Source organism: Homo sapiens, chromosome 13 (genome assembly GCF_000001405.40).
Source record: "Homo sapiens chromosome 13, GRCh38.p14 Primary Assembly".
NCBI classification, from domain to species: Eukaryota; Metazoa; Chordata; class Mammalia; order Primates; family Hominidae; genus Homo; species Homo sapiens.
This window is the reverse complement of record NC_000013.11, coordinates 40,879,037-40,893,353: the sequence shown is the minus strand read 5'-3', so window position 1 is coordinate 40,893,353 and position 14,317 is coordinate 40,879,037. Positions and strand designations below refer to the sequence as shown.

General features: G+C 41.1%; 1 pseudogene across 2 annotated transcripts in view; it reads left to right on the top strand.

The window, feature by feature from the left end:
* The window catches only part of TPTE2P5 (TPTE2 pseudogene 5), a 124,766-nt pseudogene that overhangs the window by 28,397 nt on the left and 82,052 nt on the right, over positions 1–14,317 (top strand). The gene's annotated exons all lie outside the window — the stretch shown is intronic.

Below are 14,317 nucleotides of genomic sequence, written 5' to 3'. Positions count from 1 at the left end.
CAGTGAACTATGATCCTTCCACTGCACTCCAGCCTGGGAGACAGAGCAAGCCCCTTTTCTCTACAAATAAAATAAAAATCCCCCACAGTCTTGAGGACTATACTATCTTATAATAGGTGTTTAGTAATTATTTGTTGAATGAATGAATACAAAAATGTTAGCATTCATTGTATTATGTTTATACAGTGAAATGTTTCTCCACTGTAAAACAGATGAATGCACATATAAACGCAGTAATTATTTTAGAATCGGATTTCTTTTATTATTATACTTTAAGTTCTAGGGTACATGTGCACAATATGCAGGTTTGTTACATATGTATACACGTGCCATGTTGGTGTGCTGCACCCATTAACTCGTCATTTACATTAGGTATATCTCCTAATGGTATCCCTCCCCACTCCCCCCACCCCACGACAGGCCCCGGTGTGTGGTGTTCCCCACCCTGTATCCAAGTGTTCTTATTGTTCAATTCCCACCTATTATTGAGAGCATGCAGTGTTTGGTTTTTTGTCCTTGCGATAGTTTGCTGAGAATGATGGTTTCCAGCTTCATCCATGTCCCTACAAAGGACATGAACTCATCCTTTTTTATGGCTGCATAGTATTCCATGGTGTATATGTGCCACGTTTTCTTAATCCAATCTATCATTGATGGACATTTGGGTTGGTTCCAAGTCTTTGCTATTGTGAATAGTGCTGCAATAAACATACATGTGCATGTGTCTTTATAGCAGCATGATTTATACTCCTTTGGGTATATGCCCACTAATGGGATGGCTGGGTCAAATGGTATTTCTAGTTCTAGATCCTTGAGGAATCGCCACACTGTCTTCCACAATGGCTGAACTAGTTTACAGTCCCACCAACAGTGTAAAAGTGTTCCTATTTCTCCACATCCTCTCCAGCACCTGTTGTTTCCTGACTTTTTAATGATCGCCATTCTAACTGGTATGAGATGGTATCTCATTGTGGTTTTGATTTGCATTTCTCTGATGACCAGTGATGATGAGCATTTTTTCAAGTGTCTGTTGGCTGCATAAATGTCTTCTTTTGAGAAGTGTCTGTTCATATCCTTTGCCCACTTTTTGATGGGGTTGTTTGATTTTTTCTTGTAAATTTGTTTAAGTTCTTAATAAATTCTAGATGTCAGCCCTTTGTGAGATGGATAGATTGCAAAAATTTTCTCCCATTCTGTAGGTTGCCTGTTCACTCTGATGGTAATTTCTTTTGCTGTGCAGAAGCTCTTTAGTTTAATTAGATCCCATTTGTCAATTTTGGCTTTTGTTGCCATTGCTTTTGGTGTTTTAGACATGAAGTCCTTGCCCATGCCTATGTCCTGAATGGTATTGCCTAGGTTTTCTTCTAGGGTTTTTATGGTTTCAGATCTGACATTTAAGTCTTTAATCCATCTTGAATTAAATTTTGTATAAGGTGTAAGGAAGGGATCCAGTTTCAGCTTTCTACATATGGCCAGTTTTCCCAGCACCATTTATTAAATAGGGAATCCTTTCCCCATTTCTTGTTTTTCTCAGGTTTGTCAAAGATCAGATGGTTGTAGATGTGTGGTATTATTTCTGAGGGCTCTGTTCTGTTCCATTGGTCTATATCTCTGTTTTGGTACCAGTACCATACTGTTTTGGTTACCGTACCCTTGTAGTATAGTTTGAAGTCAAGTAGCATGATGCCTCCAGCTTTGTTCTTTTGGCTTAGGATTGACTTGGTGATGTGGGCTCTTTTTTGGTTCCATATGAACTTGAAAGTCGTTTTTTCCAATTCTGTGAAGAAAGTCATTGGTAGCTTGATGGGGATGGCATTGAATCTATAAATTACCTTGGGCAGTATGGCCATTTTCATGATACTGATTCTTCCTACCCATGAGCATGGAATGTTCTTCCATTTGTTTGTGTCCTCTTTTATTTCGTTGAGCAGTGGTTTGTAATTCTCCTTGAACAAGTCCTTCACATCCCTTGTAAGTTGGATTCCTAGGTATTTTATTCTCTTTGAAGCAATTGTGAATGGGAGTTCACTCATGATTTGGCTCTCTGTTTGTCTGTTATTGTTGTATGGGAATGCTTGTGATTTTTGCACATTGATTTTGTATCCTGAGACTTTGCTGAAGTTGCTTATCAGCTTAAGGAGATTTTGGGCTGAGACAATGGGGTTTTCTAAATATACAATCATGTCATCTGCAAACAGGGCCAATTTGACTTCCTCTTTTCCTAATTGAATACCCTTTATTTCTTTCTCCTGCCTGATTGCCCTGGCCAGAACTTCCAACACTATGTGGAATAGGAGTGGTGAGAGAGGGCATCCCTGTCTTGTGCCAGTTTTCAAAGGGAATGCTTCCAGTTTTTGCCCATTCAGTATGATATTGGCTGTGGGTTTGTCATAAATAGCTCTTATTATTTTGAGATACATCCCATCAATACCTAATTTATTGAGAGTTGTTAGCATGAAGTGTTGTTGAATTTTGTCAAAGGCCTTTTCTGCATCTATTGAGATAATCATGTGGTTTTTGTCTTTGGATCTGTTTATATGCTGGATTACATTTATTGATTTGCATATGTTCAACCAGCCTTGCATTCCTGGGATGAAGCCCACTTGATCATGGTGGATAAGCTTTTTGATGTGCTGCTGGATTCGGTTTGTCAGTATTTTATTGAGGATTTTTGTGTTGATGTTCATCAGGGATATTGGTCTAAAATTCTTTTTTTTTGTTGTGTCTCTGCCAGGCTTTGGTATCAGGATGATGCTGGCCTCATAAAATGAGTTAGGGAGGACTCCCTCTTTTTCTATTGATTGGAATAGTTTCAGAAGGAATGGTACCAGCTCCTCTTTGTACCTCTGGTAGAATTCAGCTGTGAATCCGTCTGGTCCTGGACTTTTTTTGGTTGGTAGGGTATTAATTATTGCCTCAATTTTAAAGCCTGTTATTGGTGTATTCAGGGATTCAACTTCTTCCTGGTTTAGTCTTGGGAGGGTGTATGTGTCCAGGAATTTATCAATTTCTTCTAGATTTTCTAGTTCATTTGCATAGAGTTGTGTAGAGTATTCTCTGATGGTAGTTTGTATTTCTGTGGGATCGGTTGTGATATCCCCTTTATCATTTTTTATTGCATCTATTTGATTCTACTCTCTTGTCTTCTTTGTTAATCTTGCTAGCAGTCTATCAATTTTGTTGATCTTTTCAAAAAACCAGCTTCTGGATTCATTGATTTTTTGAAGGGTTTTTTGTGTCTCTGTCTCCTTCACTTCAGTTATTTCTTGGCTTCTGCTAGCTTTTGAAGTGTTTGCTCTTGCTTCTCTAGTTCTTTTAATTGTGATGTTATGGTGTCAATTTTAGATCTTTCCTGCTTGCTCTTGTGGGCATTTAGTACTATAAATTTCTGTCTACACACTGCTTTAAATGTGTCCCAGAGATTCTGGTATGTTGTGTCTTTGTTCTCATTGATTTAAAAGAACGTCTTTATTTCTGCCTTTATTTCGTTATGTACCCAAGTAGTCATTCAGGAGCAGGTTGTTCAGTTTCCATGTAGTTGAGCAGTTTTGAGTGAGTTTCTTAATCCTGAGTTCTGGTTTGATTGCACTGTGGTCTGAGACACAGTTTGTTATAATTTCTGTTCTTTTACATTTGCTGAGGAGTGCTTTACTTCCAACTATGTAGTCAATTTTGGAATAAGTGTGGTGTGGTGCTGAGAAGAATGTATATTCTGTTGATTTGGGGTGGAGAGTTCTGTAGATGTCTATTAGGTCCACTTGGTGCGGAGCTGAGTTCAATTCCTGGATATCCTTGTTAACTTTCTGTCTTGTGGATCTGTCTAATATTGACAGTGGCATGTTAAAGTCTCCCATTATTATTGTGTGGGAGTCTAAGTCTCTTTGTAGGTCTCTAAGGACTTGCTTATGAATCTGGGTGCTCCTGTTTTGGGTTTATATATATTTAGGATAGTTAACTTTTCTTGTTGAATTGATCCCTTTACCATTATGTAATGGCCTTCTTTGTCTCTTCTGATCTTTGTTGGTTTAAAGTCTGTTTTATCAGAGACTAGGATTGCAACCCCTGCTTTTTTTGTTTTCCATTTGCTTGGTAGATCTTCCTCCATCCATTTATTTTGAGCCTATGTGTGTCTCTGCACGTGAGATGGGTTTCCTGAATACAGCACACTGATGGGTCTTGACTCTATCCAATTTGCCAGTTTGTGTCTTTTAATTGGAGCATTTAGTCCATTTACATTTAAGGTTAATATTGTTATGTGTGAATTTGATCCTGTCATTATGATGTTAGCTGGTTATTTTGCTTGTTAGTTGATGCAGTTTCTTCCTAGCCTCTATGGTCTTTACAATTTGGTATGTTTTTGCAGTGGCTGGTACCAGTTGTTCCTTTCCATGTTTAGTGCTTCCTTCAGGAGCTCTTGTAAGGCAGACCTGGTGGTGACAAAATCTCTCAGCATTCACTTGTCTGTAAAGAATTTTATTTCTCCTTCACTTATGAAGCTTAATTTGGCTGGATATGAAATTCTGGGTTGAAAATTCTTTTCTTTAAGAATGTTGAATATTGGCCCCCACTCTCTTCTGGCTTGTAGAGTTTCTGCCGAGAGATCCACTGTTAGTCTGATGGGCTTCCCTTTGTGGGTAGCCCGATCTTTCTCTCTGGCTGCCCTTAACATTTTTTCCTTCATTTCAATGTTGGTGAATCTCACAATTATGAGTCTTGGGGTTGCTCTTCTCGAGGAGTATTTTTGTGGCATTCTCCGTATTTCCTGAATTTAAATGTTGGCCTGCCTTGCTAGGTTGGGGAAGTTCTCCTGGATTATATCCTGAAGAGTGTTTTCCAACTTGGTTGCATTCTCCCCGTCACTTTCAGGTACACCAATCAGACGTAGATTTGGTCTTTTCACGTAGTCCCATATTTCTTGGAGGCTTTGTTCATTTCTTTTTACTCTTTTTTCTCTAAACTTCTCTTCTTACTTCATTTCATTCATTTGATCTCAATCACTGATACCCTTTCTTCCAGTTGATCAATTCGGCTACTGAAGCTTGTGCATGTGTCTTGTAGTTCTTGTTCCAATGTTTTTCAGCTCCATCAGGTCATTTAAGGTATTCTCTATGCTGTTTATTCTAGTTAGCCAGTCGTCAAATCTTTTTTCAAGGTTTTTAGCTTCTTTGCAATTGATTTGAACATCGTCCGTTAGCTCAGAGAAGTTAGTTATTATCAATCTTCTGAAGCCTTCTTCTCTCAACTTATCAAAGTTAATCTCCATCCAGCTTTGTTCCGTTGCTGGTGAGGAGCTACATTCCTTTGGAGGAGAAGAGGCACTCTGATTTTTAGAATTTTCAGCCTTTCTGCTCTGGTTTCTCCCCATCTTTGTGGTTTTATCTACCTTTGGTCTTTGATGATGGTGACGTACAGATGGAGTTTTGATGTGGATGTCCTTTCTGTTTGTTAGGTTTCCTTCTAACAGTCAGGACCCTCAGCTGCTCATCTGTTGGAGTTTGCTGGAGGTCCACTCCAGACGCTGTTTGCCTGGGTGTCACCAGCAGAGGCTGCAGAACTGCAAATATTGCAGAACAGCAAATGTTGCTGCCTGATTGTTCCTCTGGAAGCTTCGTCTCAGAGGGGTACCTGGCCTTGTGAAGTGTCAGTCTGCCCCTACTTGGGGGTGCCTCCCAGTTAGGCTACACAGGGGTCAGGGACCCACTTGAGGAGGCAGTCTGTCATTCTCAGATCTCATACTCCATGCTGGGAGAACTACTACTCTCTTCAAAGGTCAGTTGGAAATGCAGAAATCACCCGTCTTCTGCGTCACTCATGCTGGGAGCTGTAGACTGGAGCTGTTCCTATTCGGCCATCTTGGAACCTTTTTTCAGAATCGGATTTCTTAATAGTGGCATTATTGACATTTTGGGGGATTGCTGTGTATATTGTAGGATGTTTAGTAGCAACTGTGGTCTCTACTCACTAGATGCCATTACCACATCTCCCCTCAACTCCAGTTGTGACAACTCACAATGTCTCCGGACACTGCCATATATCTTTTTGGGTATTCCAGAGAAGCTGAACAAAAGTAGATCTCTCCATATTAACTATATGATAATAGTTAACATCTGTGTGGTACTTTGACTGCATATAAAGTGTTTTCACATATATCACTCATTGATTAATTTGTTAAGCATTTACTGAGCTCTGCTATGTACTATGTCTCTACTGGACACCAGAGTATAATATACTGGTGAAGTACTCCTTGACCTCGAGGTGTCATCAAAAATGTGACTTCCCAAGAAAAGCCTTCTCCCAGTTTGTTAAATCACTCTGCCCTTCTTATTGTCTAATGCTGCACTCTGTCTCCTTTACAATATTTTCTATGCTGCTTTCCTTAAGGGTAGGTGTTATGTCAGTTTCTGTCACCTCTGTTGACAGAAGACTTGAATGCAAGACCTAGCATATTGCTAGGCCCAAAATAGGCACTCAATAAAACCATTTGAGTGAGTGGAAGAATGGATGAAGGCAACATGCTCATAGGAAAGAGACAGGCCAAGGCAGGCCATTGCTACACAATGTGATGGGTACCAAGGCAGAGAGGTGGGGTGAGGACATTGTGTTAGTCTGTTTTGAGCTGCTATAACAGAATACCACAGACTGGGTAATTTATAAAGAACAGGAATTTGTTTCCTCACAGGTCTGGAAGTCAGGAAATCCAAGATGAAGGCACTGGCAGGTTCAGTTATCTGGTGAAGGTCTGGTCTTTTTGCTTCCAAGATGGCAGTTTGACTGTTGCGTATTGAGGAGCGGGGGAAGAATGCTGTGTGCTCATATAACAGAAGGCAGAAGGACAAAAAGGGATGACTCCCTCTTTGAAGCCCTTTTATAAGGGCATCTAATCCCATTCACAAGACAGGAGCCCTTGTGGCCTAATCACCTTTTAAAGGCCCTACCTCTTAATACTGTCACATTAGCAACACCTAAGTTTTGGAGGAGACACATTCAAACCATAGCAGGTGTAAAAGACAAGCATTTAATCAGACTGTTTGTCAGTCGATAATTTTTCCTTCCCTGCAGGAGACATGTCTATGAGTGGCTGGGAGACCTGTTTAATTCTGGGATATAGAATTAAGATGGCCATCTGCCTGCAAGTAGAGATAAGCTGCATTCTCCGAAATCAACTTTGTTCATGATAAAAGTAACATTCTGGCCTCCATATGCCATATTCTTTATTGTTAATTTCTTAAACAGTTAACAAATTGGTTAGAGAAGAGGCAGGCTATCTATTGCCCCATCCTCTACTTTTTTTTTTTTTTAAAACTAAATACCTAATCGTTATATTGTTATTCTTTTGACTATTATTGCTCTCCTTAACACATATAAAAATAGACCAAACTGACATGATCATATTTTATAAAAATACGATTTTCTTTTCTTGAAAAGGAAACAGAAAAAAGGATAAATGGCTTAAATTGTCTACTTATCATAACTAGAATTAGAAATCCCAGTCTTTGTGGCTGCCAAAAAAAAAAAAAAAGAATAAATGACCAAAAAATGAAGTCAAATGCAAGTCTTTCATGACTCTCTCCCTGTGACTGTTAGTATGAGGAAACTTAATAGTTCTGAAAATAAAGATGTAAATTTCTGCAGAATGTAAAACAGGATAAAGTAACAATAGCCAAAATGTGGAAACAACCCAAATGTTCATCCATAGATGAATGGATAAACAAAATGAGGTATATATGTACAATGGACTATGATTTAGCCTAAAAAGAAGTGCAATTCTTATATATGCTACAACATAGATGAACCTTGAGAACATTATACTAAGTGAAATAAGCCAGTCACAGAAGCACAAATATATGATTCTATGTATGTGAAGAACCTAGAATAGGTAAATTCATGGAGACAGAAAGTAGTTTCCAGGGGCTGGTGGTAGGGGAGAATAGAGAGTTAGTGTTTAATGGGTATAGACTTTCTGTTTGGGATGACTTTTTTAAAAGTTCAGGGGATGGATAGTAGTGATGGCTACATAACAATGTGAATGTACTTCACACCACTGAATTGCACACTTAAACATGGTTAGGATGGTACATTTTTGTGTATTTTAACATAAGAAAAAAAATTTAGGGCTGGGCAAGGTGGCTTACATCTGTAATCTCAATACATTGAGAGGCCTAGGCGGGAGGATCACTTGAGCCCAGGAGTTTGAGACCAGCCTGGGCAACATAGTGAGACTCCATCTCTTAAAAAAAAAAAAAAATTAGCCAGACCTGGTGGTGTGCACCTAAAGTCCCAGCTACTCAGAAGGCTGAGGCAGGAGGATCACTTGAGCCCATGAGTTCAAGGCTGCAGTGATCTGTGATCATGCCACTACATTCCAGCCTGAACCACAGAGTGAGACCCTGCCTCAAAAAAAAAAAAAAAATTAGTATGATAAAGCATAGACCGTATATATAATAAAGATACTTCAACCCTTTGAAGGATTGTTCAGTTCTCAAGCCAAATAGAGAAACACATACTCTCCTAGAAAAAAGCACAGTTAGCAAAGGATCCAGGGAAGCTAGAAGGGCTGGTGTTTTGTGGCTGAGGTCAGTAGAGGTGACTGCTGTGTTCATGGCATCCCATGGGTACTTATCATCTTCATAGCCACGACCGGCAGGGTCCTTCTCAACAGACTGACCTTGTGCTGTGTATATCACATACATTATCACTGAATTTTTGAAACACCTTATAAAGTAGGCATTATTCCCATTTATGAGAATTTAATACCTTTTTGAAATTTCCTAAGTAAGTGGTGCAGCCAGCACTTAAACCCTACATCATCAGACACCAAAAGTCAAGTACTTTCCTTAGTACATCCCAAGAATAGCTTTCAAGAAGAATTATATGGATAATCTGGAGTAAAAGGAATAGGAATTTCTTCATTTAGGTCAGCGAGATGTGCTGACAAGATGACCACAAATGCAGGAATGTTGGAGTGGTTAATATGTAGATGAGAAATCATGAAAGAGTGGAATAGCAATGCAAGTTTCTGGGGCTACTTCAGTAGGGCTATTTGGGACTGATTGAGGGGGCAAAAATTAAAGCCAGAAAGTTCAGTGGAGCAAATGTCCTAGTGGCCACAGAGAAACAAAGATTTCCAAAGTGAGATGCTAAGTGAGAAACAGCAACTGAGGAGAGAAGTGATGTTTCCAGGATCACAATGGGCATAAGGAGAATTGTTCTTTTAGACTCTAGGTGAGCTTGTAGTAATCCAAGGACTGGTGATTTAGGCCACTGAGTTCTGGCTTTGAGTACATCTCTAATTCCTAAACCTTCACTAAGAGGGAGGTGAAGGGAGTCAGGTGTGCCACATGTCTGCTACTGAAAAATGCCTAGATGGGAAAGGAGTTTGAAATATTGTCCTAAAATGAAGTTTCTGAGTTAGATGGACCGAATTTCACCATGTGTTCACTGTTATTACTGTGTAAAATCAAGAGATTTAAATGAGATTACGATTATTAATTAGCTTTCTGAGATATTGAAACCTAAGAACCTGGCCGGGTGCGGTGGCTCACGCCTGTAATCTCAGCACTTTGGGAGGCTGAGGTGAGCGGATCACCTGAGGTCAGGAGTTCGAGACCAGCCTGGCTAACATGGTGAAACTCTGTCTCTACCAAAAATATAAAAATTAGCCAGGCGTCGTGGCGCAGGCCTGTAATCCTGGCTACTTGGGAGGCTGAGGCAGGAGAATCGCTTGAACCCGGGAGGTGGAGGTTGCAGTGACCCAAGATCATGCCACTGCACTCCAGCCTGGGTGACAGAGTGAGACTATGTCTCAAAAAGAAAAAAGGAAAACAAAAAAGAAAACTAAGAACCCAATTACCTCTGCCACATACATGGGCTGTCTTTGGTTAATGTGATGACATACTAAGCCCCAAACTGGTATATATAATCTCTGGTCACTTCTACACCAAAGCTGTTAACTTAACTTGGCAATGAAGGCCAAGCTAAGAAGAGTTGAGAATTATGAAGCATGAAGCATAGAATTTCAAAACTGAGAAAGAGGCCGGGCATGGTGGCTCACACCTGTAATCCCAGCAGTTTAGGAGGCTGAGGTGGGCGGATCACAAGGTCAGGAGATCGAGAACATCCTGGCTAACACAGTGAAACCCTGTGTCTACAAAAACTACCAAAAACTTAGCTGGGCGTGATGGCGGACACCTGTAGTCCCAGCTACTCAGGAGGCTGAGGCAGGAGAATGGCGTGAACCCGGGAGGCAGAGCTTGCGGTGAGCTGGAGATTGCACCACTGCACTCCAGACTGGGTGACAGAGTAAGACTCCATCTCAAAAAAAAACAAAAACAAAAAAAGAGAAAGAATAGTATCTTTTTTTCCTAACTCTTTCATTTTATAGGTATGGAAAATCGAGGACCAGGGAGAGTACCTTGCCAGCAATTTTGTAGTTATGATTTTCGATGAAGAGCTGCACAGTAATAGGGGAAATTCTGAATGGTATTCAAGTCCTCCAGCCAGCAGCAGCAGGATGTGGTTTTCAATGTGCACTATGCAAGTAGCGCTTCAGATGGAGCTTATTCTTATTTTTAATTTATTTTTTATTTTATTAATTCATTTGTTTTTATATATTTTAAGATTTATTGACATAAAAATTATATATGGTGTACAATTTGATGGTTGATATGCACATGCGTTGTGAAATGATCATCAAAATCAAGATAATTAACACATTATCACCTCTCCGTAGTTACTATTTTGTGGATGCATGTGTTTTTATTTTATTTCTGAAATAATTTTAGACTTACAGAAAATTTGAAGAAATAGTACAGAGTTCACATATTTCTACCACTTTGCTTCCCTGATGTTAAAAACTTATATAACTGTAGTTCAGTAATCAAAATGAGGAAATTAACTTTGATACAATACTATGAATTAAACTATAGCCCTTTGATTTTCACCATCTCCTCCCACCCCTACCATGCCTTTTTAATATTCCAGGATATAATCTAAGATGCCACGTTGCATTCATTCGTGTCCCCTCAGTTTCCTCCAATCTGTGACAGTTGTTCCGTATTTCCTTGTCTTTCATGGACTCTTGATGAGTACTGGCCAGCTTTTTTGTAGAATGATCCTCAGTTTGGTTTTGTCCACGTTTTCCTCATGATTAGACTAAGGTGATGTGTTTGGGGGAAGAAGATCACAAGGTGAAATGCCCTTGTTATTTCCTATCGGGGTACAGGATGCCAACGTGGCTTATTAGTGATATTTACCACGATCACTTGGTTAAGGTGGAATCTCCCAGGTTTCATTACTGTAAGTTACTTTTCTCCCTTTGTAAATGATAAACATCTTGGAGAGATGCTTTAGACTGTGCTAGCATCCTGTTTCTTCTCAAACTTTTGCCTGCTGGTTTTCTCATTCATTGGTGGATCTTGTCAACAGTTACTACTGTGGTGGTCTAGTGGGGATTTTGTATTTTACTCATTCCTTCTACATTGATTAATTGGAATTCTGTAAGGAAGAAGTGTCTCTTCTCTCATACATTTATTTATTGAATTATTTATTTATGTCCCTATGGATTTATGGATATTTATTTTGTCCTATGGGATTATGTTATTTCTTGCCTTGCTGTAAAGGAATACCTGACACTGGGTAATTCCTAAAGAAAAGAGGGCCAGGCATGGTGGCTCACTCCTGTAATCCCAGCACTTTGGGAGGCCAAAGCGGGCCAATCGCTTGAGGTCAGGAGTTCAAGACCAGCCTGGCCAACATGGTCAAACCCCATCTCTACCACAAATACAAAAATTAGCAGGGCATAGTAGCACATGCCTGTAGTCCCAGCTACTCGTGAGGCGGAGGCAGGAGAATTGCTTGAACCTGGGAGGTGGAGGGTGCTGTGAGCTGAGATTGTTCCACTGCACTCCAGCCTGGGTGACAGAGTGAGACTCCATCAGAAAAAAAAAAGAAAAATTTATTTTGGCTCATGGTTCTGCAGGCTGTACAGGAAGTGCTTTTTTAACTCCTCAAGCTGCAACATTAAATGCAGAGTCCCTACTTAGTGGGCCCAAGTCAATAAATTCAGCCTGATCTAAGGAAGGAGACCACCTCTCTTATTGTCTCATACCTCAGAAAAAGAATGAGGAAGTAAAAGTTAAAGAAAGGCAAAAATGAGATCAATAGACAGCCCAGCACTGCACTTCAGGCCTGGTCTGGTAGTTAAAAATCAACCCCTGACCTAACCACTTGTATTAGCTATAGATTCCAGACATTGTATGAGGAAGCATTGTGAAACTTTCTGCTCTGTTCTGTTCTGTCTTGATTACCGATGCATGCAGCCCCAGCCACGTACCCCATGTTTGCTCAATCGATCACGACCTTTTCATGTGGACCTCCTTGGAATTGTAAGCCCTTAAAAGGGGCAGGAATTTCTCTCTCAGGGAGCTTGGTTTTTGAGACACAAGTCTGCTGATGCTCCTGGCCGAATAAAGCTACTTCCTTTCTCAACCTGGTGTCTGAGGGGTTTTGTCCACAGCTTGTCCTGCTACATTTCTTGGTTCTCTGACTGGGAAGCGAGGTGATTAGCAGACAGTCAAGGCAGCCCCTTAGGTGGCTCAGGCCTGCCCTGTGGAGCATCCCTGCAGGGGACTCCGGCCAGCTTGAGTGACACGGATCCTGAGAGCACTCCTGGGTAGGCATTTGCCCCGGTGGAACGCCTCAACAGAGGAGTGCATGGCAGGCCCCTGCGGAGGATCAACGCAGTGGCAGAACACCAGAAAGGAACTGGCACTTGGAGTCCGGACATCTGGAATATGGTAAGACTGGTCTTGGGGACTTGCCCACTCCATTTGAGTGGAAGCGTGACCTGATCACCCATGGTGTGCCTTTATTGGCACTTTGGTTTTGGTTTTGATTTTGACTTGGCTTGAAATGCTTGATTTAGTGTGAATTAGATGAGTGAGTGATCTTTACCCTTTCCTTCTTGTAGTGTGAACATTGTCTCGAGAGAAAAATGGGTCAGACACAAAGTAAACCCACTCCACTAGGAACTATGTTAAAAAATTTTAAGTAGGGATTTAAGGGAGACTATGGAGTTACTATGACACCAGGAAAACTTAGAACTTTGTGTAAGATAGACTGGCCAGTATTTGAGGTGGGTTGGCCATCAGAAGAAGCCTGGATAGGGCCCTTGTTTCAAAGGTATGTCATAAGATAACCTGTAAGCCAGGGCACCCAGACCAGTTCCCATGCATAGACACTTGGTTACAGCTGGTTTTAGAACCCCCCACCGTGGTTAAGAGGACAGGGAGCCACAGTGTTAGTGGTGAAAGGACAGATAGTTAAGGAAGGATCCCGCTCCACCTGCCAAGGGAAGTCGGCCCCTAAAGTTCTGTCCAATCCAATATCAGGAGACTTATGGCAGGAAATGGCACCAGCGATGCCCCCCGCTTACTGAGAAGAGAGACTCCCCACTTCTGAGCCCACAGCACCTGTGCCTCCACAGGACACACACACCACTAGACCACCCAGAGTAGACAAGAGAGGATGTGAAGCTGTGGGAGAAACCCCTCCCCTGGTGGCTCATTTATGGCCTAAGACTGGAATACAAATGCCCCTGAGGGAGCAGCGATATACTGGGGTAGACGAGGATGGGCATATGGTAGAAAGGAGTGCCTTTGTGTATCAACCCTTCACCTCTGCTGATCTCCTCAACTGGAAGAACAATACCCCATCTTATAGTGAAAAGCCTCAAGCATTAGTTGATTTGCTCCAAACTATTATCCAGATTCATAACCCTACTTGGGCTGATGGCCACCAGCTGCTCATGTACCTCTTTAACACAGATGAAAAGCGAAGGGTGCTCCAGGCAGCAACTAAGTGGCTAGAGGAACATGCTCTGGCCAGTTACCAAAACCCCCAGGAGTATGTGAGAGTCCAATTACCAGGAACAGACCCCCAGTGGGACCCAAATGAAGGGCCAGACATGGAGAGACTAAAACAGTATAGAGAGGCCCTCCTGGAAGGGTTAAAAAAGGGAGCTCAGAAGGCCACAGATGTTAACAAAGTCTCTGAGGTCATTCAAGGAAAAGAAGAGAGTCCAGCACAATTTTACAAGGGACTATGTGAGGCCTATCGTATGTATACTCCCTTTGATCCCAATAGCCCTGAAAATCAGCGCATGATTAACATGGCTTTAGTTAGTCAAAGCACCAAAGATATTAGAAGAAAGCTTCAGAAACAGGCTGGGTTTGTGAGTATGAATACTTCACAGTTATTAAAAATAGCCAGTCAGATGTTTGTGAGTAGAGATGTGGCAGGCCGTAGAGAGAGCCGCAAA